Source organism: Homo sapiens, chromosome 14 (genome assembly GCF_000001405.40).
Source record: "Homo sapiens chromosome 14, GRCh38.p14 Primary Assembly".
Taxonomy (NCBI): Eukaryota; Metazoa; Chordata; class Mammalia; order Primates; family Hominidae; genus Homo; species Homo sapiens.
Window position 1 is genome coordinate 49,700,201 of NC_000014.9, and position 18,972 is coordinate 49,719,172.

General features: G+C 39.4%; 1 protein-coding gene across 2 annotated transcripts in view, besides 1 other annotated feature; it reads left to right on the forward strand.

Annotated features, from left to right (window-relative positions):
- Nucleotides 1-18,972, forward strand: part of KLHDC1 (kelch domain containing 1) — a 60,031-nt gene that overhangs the window by 7,081 nt on the left and 33,978 nt on the right. For both annotated transcript variants that reach the window (NM_172193.3, XM_011536422.3), the window contains exons 2-4: nt 8,959-9,029; nt 9,509-9,626; nt 10,063-10,181. In NM_172193.3, the coding sequence (NP_751943.1) occupies nt 8,959-9,029; nt 9,509-9,626; nt 10,063-10,181 (308 nt within the window). The remainder of the gene's footprint in view (nt 1-8,958; nt 9,030-9,508; nt 9,627-10,062; nt 10,182-18,972) is intronic.
- Nucleotides 17,623-18,124: an enhancer, noted in NCBI's record as "H3K4me1 hESC enhancer chr14:50184541-50185042 (GRCh37/hg19 assembly coordinates)". NCBI's record gives its function as "activates a minimal SCP1, AML or CMV promoter by ChIP-STARR-seq in primed H9 embryonic stem cells {active_cell/tissue: H9 hESC(primed)}" and the evidence as "EXISTENCE:reporter gene assay evidence [ECO:0000049][PMID:30033119]".

Sequence of the window (18,972 nt, forward strand, 5' to 3'; positions counted from 1 at the left end):
ATTTTTAGTAGAGACAGGGTTTCACCATGTTGGTCAGGCTGGTCTCGAACTCCTGACCTCAATTGATCCACCTGCCTCGGCCTCCCAAAGTATCTTCACAGGCTGGGTGTGGTGGCTCAGGCCTGTAACCCTAGCACTTTTGGAGGCCAAGGCAGGAGGATTGCTTGAGTCCAGGAGTTTGAGACCAGCCTGAGCAACATAGCAAGACCCTTGTCTCTGCTGGAAAGAAAATAATTAGTTGGGCATGGTAGTGTGCTTCTATGGTCCTAGCTACTTGGGAGACTGAGGTGGGAGGATCACTTGAGCCCATGTGTTCAAGGATGCAGTGAGCTATGATTGTGCCATCGCACTCCAGCCTGGGTGACAGAGACCCTGTCACTTAAAAGAAACAAATATCTGTATACATATGCTTAACTACATATTTCTGCTATGGATATGGATTTAAAGGGAAGAAGGATCAATTTAGAAAATGTTTGAAAAGAATGAAGGTGGAAGGCTTACCGTGTCAGATATTAAAACATGTCACAATACCATAATAATTAGTTGACTTGATGCAAGTAGAGATAGTACAATGAAATGCGAAAGGAATTATGGAAACAGCCGGGCACAGTGGCTCACGCCTGTAATCCCAGCACTTTGGGAGGCCAAGGCAGGCGGATCACCTGAGGTCAGGAGTTCAAGACCAGCCTGGCCAACACGGTGAAACCTCGTCTCTACTGAAAATACAAAAACATTAGCCAGGCGTGGTGGCACATGCCTGTAATCCCAGCTACTCAGGAGGCCGAGGCAGGAGAATTGCTAGAACTTGGGAGGCAGAGGTTGCATGAGCCAAGATGGCGCCATTGCATTCCAGCCTGGGCGACAGAGTGAGACTCCATCTCAAAAAAAAAAAGAAAAAAGAAAAAAACTACAAAAACAGCCAAGCATATAAGGAAAAAAAATAAGACTATTTTGTATTTAAAAGGTAGCATTTCAAATCTGGGAAAATGATCACTTATGCAATAAATGATCCTAGGATAGCTAGAGGAAAATATTCTTGGTGCCTTAGGATTGAAGGCTTAAATACAGAAAAATTAAGCTATATAATACTGGAAGAGAATATATGACTTCTAAAATCTTGAGGAAAAAACTATAATGGAAAAAATTGGCAGATCAGACTTCTAAAAAACTGATTTTTGGCCAGGCACAGTGGCTTACGCCTGTAATCCTAGCACTTTGGGAGGCCAAAGTGGATGGATCAACTGACATTGGGAGTTCGAGACAAGCCTGACCAACATGGTGAAACCCCGTCTCTACTAAAAATAGAAAAATAGCTGGTCGTGGTGGTGCATGCCTGTAATCCCAGCTACTCAGGAGGCTGAGGCAGGAGAATTGCTTGAACCCGGAGGGTGGAGGTTGTGGTGAGCCGAGATTGCGCCATTGCACTCTAGCCTGGGCAACAAGAGCGAAACTCCGTATCAAAAAAACAAAAACAAAAAAATACCAAAAACTGATTTTTAAACACCAGAAAACGAGGAGGCAAATGGCAAAGGAGAAAATATTTGTAACCAGGGTCGGGTGTGGTGGCTCATGCCTATAATCCCAGCACTTTGAGAGGCCTAGGCAGGCAGATCACCTGAGGTCTGGAGTTCAAGACCAGCCTGACCAATATGATGAAACCCCATCTCTACTAAAAATACAAAAATTAGCCGGGCGTGGTGGCTCACGCCTGTAATCCCAGCACTTTGGGAGGCCGAGGCGGGCAGATCACCTGAGGTCAGGAGTGGGAGACCAGCCTCACCAACATGGAGAAACCTCGTCTCTACTAAAAATACAAACGTAACTGGGCATGGTGGCACATGCCTGTAATCCCAGCTACTCGGGAGGCTGAGGCAGGATAATCGCTTGAACCTGGGAGGCGGAGGTTGCAGTGAGCCGAGATCACACCATTGCATTCCAGCCTGGGCAACAAGAGCGAAATTCTGTCTCAAAAAAAAAAAAAAAAAAAGATAACATCCCCATTGAAAAATGAGCAATGGATAAGTGCAATTTACAAAATAAATACAAATATACAAACAAAGGAAACCCAGGTAAAAATTACAATGAGGTTTTTCTTCTCCAATTTGCAAAGATGAGAAAGAATTCTGGCAAAGAGTGTGGAGAAATGAATTACTAGTACACTGGTAATAAGAGTACAAGTTTGTGTAACCTTTTTGAGGAGAAATTTAGCAATGTGTATCAAAAATGTAAGATGTGTTTTCTCTTTAACCTAATAGTTCTACTTTATATATTCATAAATGATCACATTGGTCATCTATGTTATATGGAAGACATTTATCATTCTTTTTAAATGACCAGAATATAAACCACCTTTCTCTATTTGTGGTATTCCCCTAGTGAGTGAATATTGTCAGGGTATTTATTCTAGTTGTCTCCTACTTATCCTCATAAAATATAAGATATGTAACTTGTTCTCTGTTGTATCCTCAATGTCTAGAACTGGTTACAGCTCATAGTAGGTGCCCAATAAAAATACCTGAAAGTCAGGTACTAACTTTTCCTGCCTTACTTGCAGCTAGGTTGCAGGCAAGTGGCTAGGACTCCATTGGTTAGATGAATCTGTGCTAGATTTGGACTTCGGAATAAAGATATAAAAAACCACGACCTCTAGAAGATTCTTAGCCTGCAATACAGTTTAGGAAGATCAAGTTTCCTTGCATAAAAGGCAGCAGTGTGGTGTGCACCAGTGACCACAGACCTGCTCTCTTGGCATGGTTTCACACCTCACTCTTCCTTGCATCGACCAGAGGCTGGTTCTCCAGCCTCCCTGATGATTCTGTGAGCTACTTAATATTCGTTTCTTAAAATTTTATTTACTTAATTTTTGAATTTGAAATATATATACAATAGAATGTATAAAATAAGTATTATTTAAATATAAACAACTGTTTACTTTCCAGATTAAGAAATAAACAATACCTTTATTGTTTATTATGCAGGATAAAAGCTTCCTTTTATCCTGCATTGATTACATTGCTCCCACTACCCCCACTCATACAGGTTACCACTATCTTAAATTTCTTTTCTCTATAATTTTACTTCACATACATCTCTAAACAATATATTATTTGGTTTTGAATCATAGCATATGTTTTCTTTCATGAATTTTTTTTTTTTTTTGAGACAGAGTTTCGCTCCTGTTGCCTAGGCTGGATTGCAGTGACATGATCTTAGCTCACTGCAACCTCCGCCTCCTGGGTTCAAGTGATCCTCCTGCCTCAGCCTCCCAAGTAGCTGGGATTACAGGTGCCCGCCACCACACCCAGCTAATTTTTGTATTTGTAGTAGAAACGGGGTTTCACCATGATGGCCAGGTTGATCTTGGACTCCTCACCTTAGGTGATCCACCCACCTCAGCCTCCCAAAGTGCTGGGATTACAGGTGTGAGCTCAGCCTCTTCCATGAATTCTTTTAGTTTTCAGATTCATACATTGCTTATAGTCAACTGGTGTGTGCTTGTATGGCTGTACCTGTTGTTGTTTGGCATCTATTCTGATTGGTCAATGCCTGTGCTGCCCAGTTGTTAAATAATTTGAAAATCATCATCTCTAGATCCATTCATTTGATGTATATCCTGTATAACATTCTACTCTATGAGTTTACTGCAATTTATCCATTCCATTATTGGTGAATATTTGAATGTTTCTAATTTTTTGCTATTGTAAGCATTCTTATAACATGCTTCCTATTGTATATTCACAAGGGCATGTACATTCCCTAGGGAATCTACCAATGAATGAAATGTTGGATCACTTGATATGCACATCTCCAAAATTATTTGGAAATGTCAGACTGTTACCAAAATATTTGTATCAATTTACACTCCCACCAGCCATTTCCTTGCCCCATATCCTTGGCAACACATTTGGTACCATCTGGCCTTACGTTTTTGCCGTTCCAGTGAGTGTGACATGATAGTTCATTGTGGTTTTTGTTTTCATTTCCCTTGGTTACTGATAAAATTGAGCGTCTAACTTTATGGACTATTTGTGTCTTTTGTAAAAATGCTGGCTCATGTCTTTTGCTCATTTTTCTGTTGGATTATTTGCTTTTTTTAACTAATTTATACAAGTTTTAAAATACAAAATTGTGTGAGTTGAATATGTCTTCAATTTATAGCTTGTCTTTTTATTTTTTTTCCTTTTCTGTTTTTTTTTTTTTTTTTTTTTTTTGAGACAGAGTCTCGCTTTGTCGCCCCGGCTGGAGTGCAGTGGCGCAATCTGGGGTCACTGCAACCTCTGCCTCCCAGGCTCAAGCAATTCTCGTGCCTCAGCCTCCTGAGTAGCTGGGATTACAGGCACCCGCCACCATGCCCAGCTAATTTTTTGTATTTTTAGTAGAGGCCAGAGTTTCACCATGTTGGCTGGGCTGGCCTTGAACTCCTGACCTCAGGTGATCTGCCCACCTCGGCCTCCCAAAGTGCTGGGATTACAAGCATGAGCCACTGTGCCTGGCCTTGTCAAACATATTCTAACCATTCCTAGAAACAGGAAGAAAAGGAGTCAAGGGAGAATTCTTTTTTTTGAAAGGTGAGATGAGACATGTTTGTATATTAATAGGAATAATCCAGTAGAGAAGGAAAACTTGGACTGGGCGCAGTGGCTCACTCAATCAATAAATATTTTATTTGTCTTTTATGTGTGAGGCACTGTAGTAGGCTCTGGGAGCGTAACAAGATAGACAAGATCCCTGTACTCATGAAGCTTACAGTTTAGCAGTATTGGTGGTGGTGAGGGTGGGTGTGATACAAAGAACTTCAAAGGGAAAGTACAGGACTATGAGGGCCTCTAATAGGGGACCTTAATACTTTAAGCTATTTTAGAGAATAGGTTAGAGAAGTACATTTAAGCTGATTCCCAAAAAAGGAGGAGTTAGGCAAACTCTGAAAGAGTACTATAAGAGAGAAAAGAGAATAGATGAATGGTCCTATCATAGCAAGGAACTAGGAGATGTTTAAGTACTGAAGGCGTACTGTGTGTGAAAGGCAACTTGAAGTTTCGAGGGATAGCAGCTACCATATAATACAGAATCATAAACATTTTAGACTATGCTAAAAGCAATAGGGAGCCATTGAAAGGACTTAAACAGAGTAATGACAATTCACTTTCATAATATTTCTTTCTTTCTTTTTTTTTTTTTTTTTTTTTGAGATGGAGTCTTGCTCTGTCACCCAGGCTGGAGTACAGTGGCATGATCTCAGGTTACTGCAACCTCCGCCTCCCAGGTTCAAGCAATTCTCCTGTCTCAGCCTCCTGAATAGCTAAGACTATAGGCGCCCGCCACCACACCTGGCTAATTTTTTTGTATTTTTAGTAGAGACAGGGTTTCACCATATTGGCCAGGCTGCTCTCGAACTCCTGACCTTGTGATCTGTTCGCCTCAGCCTCCCAAAGTGCTAGGATTACAGGTGTGAGCCACTGTGCCCAGCCTATAATATTTCTTTTGTAAAGGAGTACACATGAGGCTACTGGAACCTAATGCCATTAAACCTTAGACTCATACAGTAGCTCCCCTTCTTATAATTATTTGTTTACTTAGCCATTTAATATGGATTCCTCAGTCAGACATGAGTGTAAGTTTATGTTTTTTCACTGATTGAAAAATTTTTTTAATTTTAATTTTTGTGGGTACATAGTAGGTGTATATATTTATGGGATGCATGAGATATTTTGATACAGGCATGCAATGCATAATAGTCACATCATATAAAATGGGGTATCTGTTCCCTCAAGTATTTATCCTTTGTGTTACAGACAATCCAATTATATTCTTTTATTTTGAAATGTACAATTATTATTGACTATAGTCACCCTATTGTGCGATCAAATACTAGGTCTTATTCTTTCTAACTATTTTTTGGTACCCATTAGCCATCCCTACCCACCCACTCCCACCTCCCACTAACCTTACCAGCTTCTGGTAACCATCCTTCTGCTTTCTCTCTCCATGAGGTCAATTGTTTTGATTTTTAGATCTCATGTAAGAACATGTGATGTTTGTCTTTTTGTGTCTGGCTTACTTCATTTAGCTAATGACCTCTAGTTCCATCCATGTTATTGTAAATAACAGGATCTCATTCTTTTTTATGGCTGAATGGTGCTCCATTGTGTATGAGTACCACATTTTCTTTATCCATTCATGTGTTGATGGACACAAGTTGCTTCGAAATTTTGGGTATTGTGAACAGTGCTGCAACAAACATGGGAGTGCAGATATCTCTGCGATACACTGATTTCCTTTCTTTCGCATATATACCTAGCAGTGGGGGTGCTGGATCATATGGTAGCTCTATTTTTAGTTTTTAAAGAAACCTCCAAACTGTTCTCCATAGTAGTTGTACTAATTTACATTCCCACCAACAGTGTATGAGAGTTCCCTTTTCTTCACTTCCTTGCCAGCATTAGTTACTGCCTTTCTTTTGGATAAAAGCCGTTTTAACTGAAGTGAGATAATATCTCATTGTAGTTTTGATTTGCACTTATTTGATGATCAGTGATGTTGAGCACCTTTTCCTATGCCTGTTTGCCATACTTATGTCTTCTTTGGAGAAATGTGTATACAAGTATTTTGCCCATTTTTAAATTAGATTGTTAGATTTTTTTCCTGTAGAGTCGTTTGAGCTCCTTATATATTCTGGTTATTAATCCCTTGTCACATGGGGAGTTTGCAAATATTTTCTCCCATTCTGTAGGTTGTCATTTCATTTTGTTGATTGTTCCCTTCACTGTGCAGAAGCATTTAAACTTGATATGATCCCATTTGTCCATTTTTGCTTTGGTGGCCTGTGCCTGTGGGGTATCATTCAAGAAATTTTTGCCCAGACCAATGTCCTGGTGAGTTTCCCCATGTTTTCTTGTAGTTGTTTTATAGTTTGAAGTCTTAGATTTAAGTCTTTAATCCATTTTGATGTGATTTTTGTATATGGTGAAAGATAGGAATCTAGTTTTTTTCTTTTGCACCATCTATTGAAAAGACTCAGACATGAGTGTAAGTTTAATTTCCTTGGAACTAATACAACGCTTTTCTATTTTTATGTGTGTGTGTGTGTGTGTGTGTGTGAGAGAGAGAGAGAGAGAGAGACATGGTAGACAAGATATTCTTTTTTTTTTTTTTTTTTTTTTTTTTGGAGACAGAGTCTCCATTTGTTGCCTAGGCTGGAGTGCAGTGGCACAATCTCAGCTCACTGCAGCCTCCACCTCCGGGGTTCAAGCGATTCTCCTGCCTCAGCCTTCTGAGTTGCTGGGATTACAGTCATGCACCACCACGCCCAGCTAATTTTTGTATTTTTAGTAGAGACGGGGTTTCACCATGTGGGCCAGGATGGTTTTGATCTCTTGATCTTGTGATCCACCTGCCTCTGCCTCCCAAAGTGCTGGGATTACAGGCGTGAGCCACTACACCTGGCCCTTTTTTTTTTTTTTTTTTTTAAGAAGCAGGGTCTGCCTCTGTCGCCCAGGCTGGAGTGCAGTGGTACTATCATAGCTCACTACAGCCTCGAACTCCTGAGCTCCAGTGATCCTCCCACCTCAGCCTCCTGAGTAGCTAGGACTACAGGCATGTGCCACCAGGCCTAACTAATTTTTTGGTGTTTTTTTTTTTAGAGACAAGATCTGGCTATGATGCCCAGGCTGGTCTTGAATTCCTGGATTCAAGCAATCCTCCTGCCTTGGCCTCCCAAAGTGCTGGGATTACAGGAATGAGCCACTACACCCGGCCTATTTTTAAATTTAAAGAACATACAATGAGAAACAGCTAAATCTTCTTAGCATGTTAATAACTTATGTATTATATAGTTTTAGAAATTCTTAAAGTGCTATTTTAAAACTCTAGCTTTTTTTTTTTTTTTTTTGAGACAAATTCTCACTCTTTTGCCCAGGCTGGAGTGCAGTGGCACGATTTCAGCTCACTGCAACCTCCGTCTCCCAGGTTCAAGCGATTCTCCTGCCTCAGCCTCCTGAGTAGCTGGGATTACAGGCATACGCCACCATGCCTGGCTAGTTTTTTTTGTATTTTTAGTAGAGGTGGAGTTTCACTATGTTGGCCAGGCTGGTGTCAAACTCCTAACCTCAGGTCATCCACCTGCCTCAGCCTCCCAAAGTGCTGGAATTGTACTGTGCTGGGATTACAAAATGCTGGCTGAGCCACTGCGCCCAGCTGGTTATTTTTGAACTATTATATAGATTCTGAGAACTATGGCAGATTTATGTAAAAATTTATTTTAACTCCTAAGCTTGTTTAAGCTCAAAATAAGTAAGATTGTTATACAAGTCTTATTTATCTTTTCATCAAGAATGTCAGAATGTGCTATTCTATTTGTGATCAGCTTCTTTAGAGATTATCCAAGTTCTGAGTTCTCATTTTGACTAGTTAAATATATTGTGATCCTTATATTCTAGATTTAATGAACAACTAATACTATGCCTTGCATATAGTAGGCACTCAAAAAATATGTTCAGTGAATTAAAGTTCCTGAGATATCTTAATAAGATATTTAATTGTATCTTTAAAAAATTTCCTCCATTAATACTTCCTGTCACCCAAAATGTATTGTCCTTTTTTTTATTTTTTGATGATCTTTTTCTTCCTGGCTTTATAATCTTTAATATTCTGCTCTAAATCTTATTGTTTTGCTATTTTCTTTTACATAAAGCCCCTTTTAAAGGTTTAATTGCCCTAATTATTTTCTTGAGACTTATATACTCGCTATGTTTTATTTTGATCCTTTATTGTTTTCCCACTTTCTCTTAGAAAATCTTCTTTCCTTTTCTTTTGATATATTTTATTTTATATTGAAAAAGATCCTTGAGCCTTCTTTTGTGTTTTATAGTATTTTATTAGCAATTTTTCTCATCCTGAGAAGCTGTGTAACTGTTTGCTGTGTAACTGATAAACATAATTTTATGTATTCTGTATTTTTAGTCTATTGAAGACAATGAAGTATATTTGCCTAATGATGAAATTTGGACCTATGATATTGATAGTGGGTTGTGGTAAGTAATTTTAAATTGCATACTGTCTGATCTTAATATCTATTATAAATGTTTCTGTAGACTCTAGGGAATTTGAGACCATACTTTGAACATACTGCAACATTTTTGAAGTCTCCCTTTCCTTTCCTTTCAATGCTTTTATTTTCTGACTCTTTCATTCCCCTACTGTCTTCCCTGCTCCACTTTTTGTCTTTTAGTATTTCTCTCAAGACCAGTGCTGTCTCTGAAGATTTTGTTTTATTCTGCAAATTTCCAGTTCTAGTGACGTGTGAAATTTTTGTGATTTTTTTTTTTTTCCTAGCAGATTGAAAAAGTTTTACCCTGGATCTTCTTAGAGTTTTTACATTATTGGCCACCATTACATTGTAACTGTAATTGACAGTGACAGTTTTCACTGACAAAAGTACTCATGGAGTTTAAAGAGAATTTTAATTTGCCTTTCTGGAAAGTTATGGGATTCCATGTTATTCTTGCTGCAGGAGAATGCACCTCATGGAAGGAGAACTCCCAGCCTCCATGTCAGGAAGCTGTGGTGCTTGCATTAATGGAAAGCTGTACATTTTTGGAGGATATGATGACAAAGGATACAGCAATCGAGTAATAATTTCTTTAATTCAAGAGTGCAGCAAAATGTAATATTTAATGCATCATTTCATCTCACAAGTTACAAATATTTTAAAAAGAAGATATATATAGAAAACCTTAAACTTGTAATTAAATATTTTAAAGCTGGGTTGAAAATGCAGCAGTCCTGCTCTTCTCTTCTTCTGTGTCTTTCTGCTTCAGAATTAACTGCATATTTAATTGATATTCATAGGATAAGAGCAGGATGTGACTCATTTTAATATGTTTTATATATCATTTTTACTCCTAAAACAGTCTCATTTTTATTCTCCAATTTTTAAATTTTAATAGGTAACAAGCTTACCTATTAAAAAGAAAATAATAGTATTAATTCTTGGATCACATTCCCTCTGATATAGATTTAATTTTTAAATGCCCTGTCTGCTAATAGTGTTCTCATCTTTTAAAGCTTTATTTTGTTAATTTACGAACAAGAGATGAAACCTACATTTGGGAGAAAATCACCGACTTTGAAGGGCAACCACCTACACCACGTGATAAACTTTCCTGCTGGGTATATAAAGACAGGTAATGCAGCAGTTGCACTTAATGCATTATGTCTACCTAAGCAAAGATAATAGCTTTGGCTAAAATACAGAATGCTTAAAGGTATGAGTTTTTTTCAGGATTGCAATTGATTTTCTAAATAATCAATATCTGACAATGCCCGTTTTATTTCTTCCTTTCTAATCTTTAAACTTTTTGTTGTCTTACTGGACTGGGTAGGACCTTGAGTAAATCCAGTGCTTATATTTATACTTTCATATATTACTCATTCTTTTTCTCTGAACAATATCTATCATTCCCCTACTCTGAGCATCAATAAAACTAGATGGTAGCCTCTTCATCCCTCTCTCCTTCCCATTCCTTCAACGCTAGTTTTTGTGAGTTATGTTTTTAATCCTTCTGTTCCATTTTTGGGAAGAAGGGGAACTTTAGTTATGAACATTTTAGCTCCTCACTCCCTGCTTATCATTTCTTGCTAATTCTTTTTAACTATTTTTTGTGGTTTTTCACATTTTTATTCTTTATGTCCTTTACTGTATTTTCTGTGATAACTGTCTCTTTGCTATTTGTAACATTGTCTTCATTTCTGAAATGAGTTTTTCTCCCCTTTTATTTCTTTCCTAATTTTTTTTGTTTGTTTTTTGTTTTTTTGGAAATGGAGTCTCACTGTTGCTCAGGCTGGAGTGCAATGGCACGATCTCTGCTCACTGCAACCTCTGCCTCCCGGGTTCAAGCGATTCTCTGGCCTCAGCCTCCTGAGTAGCTGGGATTACAGGTGCCTGCCACCATGCCCGGCTAATTTTTGTGTTTTTACTTTATTTATTTATTTATTTGTTTGTTTATTTATTTATTTATTTTTGTGACAGAGTCTCGCTCTGTCGCCTAGGCTGGAGCGCAGTGGCGCAATCTCGGCTCACTGCAACCTCCACCTCCCAGGTTCAAGCAATTCTCTTGCCTCAGCCTCCCGAGTAGCTGGGACTACAGGGGCATGCCACCACGCTGGCTAATTTTTTTTTGTATTTTTATTAGAGACAGGGTTTCACTGTGTTAGCCAGGATAATCTCGATCTCCTGTGCTTGTGATCCGCCCGCCTCGGCCTCCCAAAGTGCTGGGATTACAAGCGTGAGCCACTGCACCTGGCCCTAATTTTTGTATTTTTAGTAGAGATGGGGTTTCACCATGTTGGCCAGGCTGGCCTCGAACTCCTGACCTTGTGATTTGCCTGCCTCAGTCTCCCAAAGTGCTGGGATTACATGTGTGAGCCACTGCGCCTGGCCTTCTTTCCTAATTTCTAACAATTCTGTTTCAGCTCCTCATATTTTCTGGCCATCAACTCTGTTATTTGAGTTCTTATATTTTTGTTTTAAGGGTTTTCTTCATTGCTAATTATTAAATTTTATTTGTGTTTTAAAATATCATTCACTATTTAATTTCCAGTTTTCAGATTTGCTTGTTTGTCTCTTAAATGTTTTTAAACAATTTGTTCAGTAGGGGACTAGATAAGGTCTATACGTTATAATCGATTTATATGTCTTTCTTTTTTCTTTTTCTTTTTTTTTTTTTTTTTTTTTTTTTTTGAGGCAGAATCTCACTGTCACCCAGGCTGGAATGCAGTGGTGCCATCTCGGCTCACTGTAACCTCTGCCTCCCAAGTTCAAGCAATTCTCCTGCCTCAGCCTCCCGAGTAGCTGGGACGACAGGTGCATACCACCATGCCTGGTTAATTTTTTTGTATTTTTAGTAGAGACTGGGTTTCACCATGTTAGCCAGGATGGTCTCGATCTCCTGACCTCGTGATCCACCCGCTTCAGCCTCCCAACGTGCTGGGATTACAGGCATGAGCCACTGCACCCAACCAATATGTCTTCCATATATATAGTTGCTTTTATTCTAGAGATTTCCTTTTGGTCTTTTTTGTTGTTTTGTTCTTGAAATTTATTTGATAAAGAAACCATGTCATTTGGCTATAGAATCCCAATAGTCTGCACTGTGTTGGTTGTATCTCTGTGATACCATTTAACATATTCATCTACACCTTCTATTTTCTGTAAATTGGTAGTTAGATCTAGAAAGTTAAGCAAATTCATGTTCTTGTGTTAGCTGTTGGTTTGGGAGCAAATAAAAAGTACTTCATAGATTTTCTTTTTTTTTTTTTTTTTGAGACGGAGTCTCCCTCTATTGCCCAGGATGAAGTGCAGTGGTGGAATCTCGGCTCACTGCAACCTCAGCCTTCTGGGTTCAAGTGATTCTCCTGCCTCAGCCTCCCGAGTAGCTGGGACTACAGGCATGTGCCACCATGCCTGGCTAGTTCTTTTTGTATCTTTAGTAGAGACGAGGTTTCACTATATTGGCCAGGCTAGTCTCAAACTTTTGATCTCGTGATCCACCTGCCTCCACCTCCCAAAGTGCTGGGATTACAGGCATGAGCCGCCACACCCGGCTTAATTTTTGTGTTGTTCAGTAGAGACAGGGTTTCACCATGTTGGTCAGCCTGGCCTTGAACTCCTGACCTCAGGTGATCCACCCACCTTGGCCTCCGAAAGTGCTGGGATTACAGGCGTGAGCCACCATGCCCGGCCCATAGCTAACTTTTTTTTTTTTTTTTTTGAAATGGAGTCCTGCTCTGTCACCCAGCCTGGAATGCAGTGGCGCGATCTCAGCTCACTGCAAGCTCTGCCTCCCAGGTTCACGCCATTCTCCTGCCTCAGCCTCCCGAGTAGCTGGAACTACGGGCTCCCGCCACCACACCCGGGTAATTTTTTTTTTTGTATCTTTAGTAGAGACAGGGTTTCACCGTGTTAGCCAGGGTGGTCTCGATCTCCTGACCTCGTGATCCGCCCGCCTCAGCCTCCCAAAGTGCTGGGATTACAGGCATGAGCTACCGCGCCCAGCCCATAGCTAACTATTTTTAGACATTAGTAGGCACATAATGTTTGGTTGTCTCTGTATGTTAGCAAGCACCGATGATTGCTGCCTAGATCCATTTTTGTACAAGAAGATGCAAAGTGATGATATTCTAATTCTATTATTTGTTCTTAATTTATTAGTGGAATACTTCTATAAAAAGAAACTTTCTTTAACTGTTTATTAACCCTAAGATACTGTTTGTATAGGAAAATCAGGATAAATGCTTGATTCTTTCGCCTTTAGAATCAATTGAGTCATTTCTCTAGTATCCTTCAAAGTGGTCAGTAAGGTTTTAAATTACCATTTTAAAATCATGGATTTGAAATATTTGATGTCGGCCTGCCCTAGTGGCTCTTGCCTATAATCCCAGCATTTTGGGAGGCTGAGGTAAGAGGATCGCTTGGGGCCAGAAGTTTGAGACCAGCCTGGCCAACATGACAAAACCCCATCTTTACTAAAAAGACAAATCGTTAACCAGGTGTGGTGGCGTACGCCTGTGGTCACAGCTACTCAGGTGGCTGAGGCAGGAGGTATATATATATATATATATATATATATATATATATATATATATATATATATATTTTTTTTTTTTTTTTTCCTGAGACAGAGTCTCACTCTGTCACCCAGGCTGGAGCACAGTGGCACGATCTTGGCTCACTGTAACCTCCGCTTCCTGGGTTCAAACAATTCTCATGCCTCCCAAGTAGCTGGGATTACAGGTGCACGCCACCAAACCTGGCTAATTTTTGTATTTTTAGTAGAAACAGGGTTTCACCATGTTGGCCAGGCTGGTCTTGAACTCCTGGCTTTAAGTGATCCACCCGCCTTGGCCTGCCAAAGTGCTGGGACTATAGATGTAAGACACTGTGCTCAGCTAGAATATATAAATATGTTTTAAATAAAGTTTAAAAATCTAGGCTGGGCTGGGCGTGGTGGCTCACACCTGTAATCCCAGCACTTTGGGAGGCCGAGGCGCGCAGATCACACGGTCAGAAGTTCGAGACCAGCCTGGCCAGCATAGTGAAACCCTGTCTCTACTAAAAATACAAAAAATTAGCCAGGCGTGGTGGCAGGCACCTGTAATCCCAGCTACTTAGGAGGATGAGGCAGAACAATGGCTTGAACCCAGGAGGTGGAGGTTGCAGTGAGCCGAGATCGCGCCATTGCACTCGAGCCTGGGTAACAGAGCGAGACTCTGTCTCAAAAACGAAAAAAAATCTAGGCTGGTTGTGGTGGCTCATGCCTGTAATCCCAGTACTTTGGGAGGTCAAGGCTGGAGGATCCCTTGAGGACAGGGGTTTGAGATCAGCCTGGGCAACACAGTGAGACCTCATCTCTACAAAAAGTAAGAAAAAAAAATACCCAGGTGTGGTGGCATGCTATGCACCTGTGGTCCCAGCTACTTGGGAGGCTGAGGCAGGAGGATATGTATAGTATAGTATTTGAATCATATACTCATGTATAATATATTATTTGACTCAAATACTCTGACTCATATACTATACTATACTATAAATGTATGGTATATGTTATATAACATATACTTTAGCATATACTTAACACATAGTATATATAATATAAAATATGTCTTTATATATTATATATACTTTTACATGTATACTTAATATATATTTATATATACTTTATTTCCATATATATGGAAATTACATATATACTTTATTTTCATATATATGGAAATTATATATATACTTTATTTCCATATATATAGAAACTTATTTTTATCTATTTTATATTTTATGTATACATATATACTTAATATATATTATATATGTTTTTTGTATTATACATACTTTATTATATTAAGTGTATATATATTCATATATATTTTACTTTATTATTTTTTTTTTCTGAGACAGAGTCTCATTCTGTCACCCAGGCTGGAGTGCAGTGGCATGATCTCGGCTCACTGCAACCTCTGACTCCCTGGTTCAAGCTATTCTCCTGCCTCAGCCTCCCGAATAGCTGGGATTACAGGCACACACCACCACACCCAGCTAATTTTTGTATTTTTAGTACAGATGGGGTTTCACCATGTTGGCAAGGATGGTTTTGATCTCTTGACCTCATGATCTGACCGCCTCAGCCTCCCAAAGTGCTGGGATTACAGATGTGAGCCACCGTGCCCGGCCTACTTTATTATATTAAGTACATATAAAAGTATATATAAAATATAGGCCGGATGTGGTGGCTCACGCCTGTAAGCCCAGCACTTTGGGAGGCCAAGGCGGGCAGATTACTTGAGGTCAGGAGTTCGAGACCAGCCTGGCTGACAGTGAAACCCCGTCTCTACTAAAAATACAAAAATTAGCTGGGTGCAGTGGCAGGTACCTGTAGTTCCACCTACTTAGGAGGCTGAGGCGGGAGAATTGCTTGAACCTGGGAGGCGGAGGTTGCAGTGATCTGAGGTTGTGCCATTGCACTCCAGCCTGGGTGACAAGACTCTGTCTCAAAAAAAAAAAAAAAAAAAAAAAAAAATATATATATATATATAATAAAAGATAAAACATAGCCTTACCTTTTAAACCTAGATGTTTATGAGCAATGAATATTGATTTTTATTAAATACTTTTTCTTTTGAAGTCGTTTGAGGTTTGTTTTCTCATTTAAATACTGATGTCATTAAATATTTTCTAATATGATATACTCGTGTTTCTGATATAAATCTTACATGGTTGTAACGAGTATTTCAACATATTGTTGAATTTCATTCACAGGTGTATACAGAATTTTTTAGGAGGAGTAATTGATAGCTTTGTTGATTTGCCTCCTGGTTACACTTAATTTTTTGTCATTTTGGTTTGCAAAAAGCATTTTAAGGGCTAGAGGCAAACATAGGACTGAACTCTGTCTCTGAACCTAGCATAGGCTCGTATAAAGGGAGTATCTTTGAATGCTTATGGCAATGACATGTGTTTCTGTAAACCACTATGGTTTTCTGCCTTTGTTTTTCCAGGTTAATCTACCCTGTAAAGTATTTTTGGACCTTTAAAGGTTTTTTGTTGTTGTTAGTATGTAAAAGAAACCAGTAACAATGATTGCCCTAGGCAAGGGAATTAAGTGACTGAGAGTAGGAGGGAGACTTACCTCTTGCTACGCTTTTTTTTTTTTTGAGACAGAGTCTCACTCTTGTTGCCCAGGCTGGAGTGCAATGGCGTGGTCTCCACTCACTGCAACCTCCACCTCCCTGGTTCAAGGGATTCTCCTGCTTCAGCCTCCCAAGTAGCTGGGGTTACAGGTGCCTGCAACCATGCCCAGATAATTTTTGTATTTTTAGTAGAGGCGGGGTTTCACCATGTTGGCCAGGCTTGTCTCAAACTCCTGACCTCAGGTGATCCGCGCACCTCAGCCTCCCAAAGTGCTGGGATTACAGGCATGAGATACCACGCCCGGCTTGCTATACCTTTTTGAAAGGTTGTGGTAAATACATAAAACATAAAATTTTTCATTTTAACTATATTAAGTGTACAATTCAGTGGCATTAATTACCTTCATAATGTTGTGCAACCATCACCAGTACCTACTTCCAAACTTTTTAATTACTCCAAACAGAAACTCTGTGCCCATTAAGCCATATCTCCCCATTCTCCCTTCTTTCCAACCCCTGGTGACCTCTAATCTTTCTGTCTATAATAATTTACGAATAAGCAGATAATAGGTATTTCATAAAAATTGAATCATAAAATGTTTGTTCTTTTTGTCTGCCTTATTTCACTTAACATAACGTTTTCAAGGTGCATTATGTTGTAGCATATAGCATTCCTTTTTATGGCTGAGTAATATTCCACTGTATGTATATACCGCATGTTGGTTAGCCATTTATATGTTGGTAGATGCTTGGGTTGTGTCTACCTTTTCGCTATTTGTGAATAATGCTGCTATCAATGTGGCATATAACTTTGTGTGATTCAGTTTTCAATTCTTTTGAGTATATACGTTAAGAATAGAACTGTTGGGTCATTTGGTGAGTCTATGTTTAAGTTTTTGAGGAACCACCAACTATTTTCCATAGTGACTATACCATTTTATATTCCCACCAGCAAGGAACAAGGGTTCCAGTTTTGCCACATCCTCACCTATGCTTATTTTGGGTGTGTGTGTGTGTGTTTTTAATAATAGTTATACTAGCAGATGTGAAATGGTATTTCATTGTGGTTTTGATTTGTATTTTCCTAATGACTAATGATGTTGGCTTATTGGACATTTGTACATCTTCTTTGGAGAAATGTCTATTCAAATCCTTTACCCATTTAAAAAAAATGAGTCGTCTGTCTTTTTGATGTTACGTTACGGTAGTACTTTATGTATTCTGGGTGTTGATCCCTTATCAGATATATTTAATTGTATTTTATTTGTCTTGCTTTGGTATCAGGGTAATGCTAGCCTCAAACTAATTTAGGAAGTATTCCCTCCTCACTTTTTTTTTTGGAAGAGTTTGAGTGGGATTGGTGTTAATTCTTTTTTAAATATTTGGTAGAATTCGCCAGTGAAGCCATTCTTGGGCTTTTCTTTCTTGGGAGCGTTTTGATTACTGATTCAATCATCTTACTTGTTATAGGTTTATTCAGATTTTCTATTTTTTCTTGAGATATAATTTATTTTTGTTTTTATAAGAGTCAGGGTCTTTCTTTGTTACCCAGGCTGGAGTGCAGTGGTGCTTTCATGGCTTACTGCAGCTTTGAACTCCTTGGACCCTCAAGCAGTCCTTCCACCTCAGCCTCCTGAGTAGCTGGGACTACAGGCACGTGCCACCATCCCTGACTAAGATTTTTATTATTTGTAGGGATAGGGTCTCATTATGTTGCCAGGCTGGTCTCAGACTCTTGGCTTCAAGTGATCCTTCCACCGCAGCCTCCCAAATTGCTAGGATTACAGGCATGAACCACTGTGCCCAGCATTGAGGGTGTGGGTCTTTCCAGGAAGTTTTCCATTTCATCTAAGTTATCCAACTTGTTGATATACCCTTCTTCATGGTATTCTGGTGGTTTTGTTGTTGTTGTTTGTTTGTTTTTGAGACAGGGTCTCACCTTTGCCCAGGCAGGAGTGTAGTGGCACTGTCTTGGTTCACTGCAGCCTCTACCTCCTAAGCTCAGGTGATTCTCCCACCTCAGCCTCCCAAGCAGCCGGGACTACAGGTGCACACCACCAGGCACAGCTAATTTTTTTTGTACTTTTAGAGACAAGGTTTCACCATGTTGGCCAGGCTGGTCTTGAACTCCTGGACTCAGGCAATCTGCCTACCTCCGCCTCCCAAAGTGCTGGGATTACAGGTGTGAACCAGCATGCCTAGCATAGTATTCTTTTGTCATCCTTTTTATTCTGTAGTATCAGTAGTAATATTTCTTCCTCACTTCTGCTTTTAGTAATTTGAATCTGCTCTCTTTTTTCTTAGTGCAGCTGTCTAAGCATTTGTCAATTTTGTTGATCTTTTCAAAGAATCAACTTTTGTTTTGTTGTTTTTCTTTTTCTTTTCTTTCTTTCTTTTTTTTTTTTTTTTTTTTTTTTTGAGTCGTAGTCTCACTCTGTTCACTTTGTTGCCCAGGTTGGAGTGCAGTGGCGCGATCCTAGCTCACTGTTTCCTGGGTTCAAGTGATTCTCCTGCCTCAGCCTCCCAAGTATCTGGGATTACAGCCGCCTGCCACTACACCCACCTAATTTTTTTGTATTTTTAGTAGAGACGGGGTTTCACCATGTTGGCCAAACTGGTCTCTAACTCCTAACCTCAAGTGATCAGCCTGCCTTGACCTCTCAAAAGTGCTGGGATTACAGCCATGAGCCACCCCGCCCAGCCTGTTGTTTTTCTTGATTGTTTTTCTATTCACTATTTTATTTTGCCTCCAACCTTTATCATTTTCTTCCTTCTGCCCTCTGTAAGTTTAGTTTG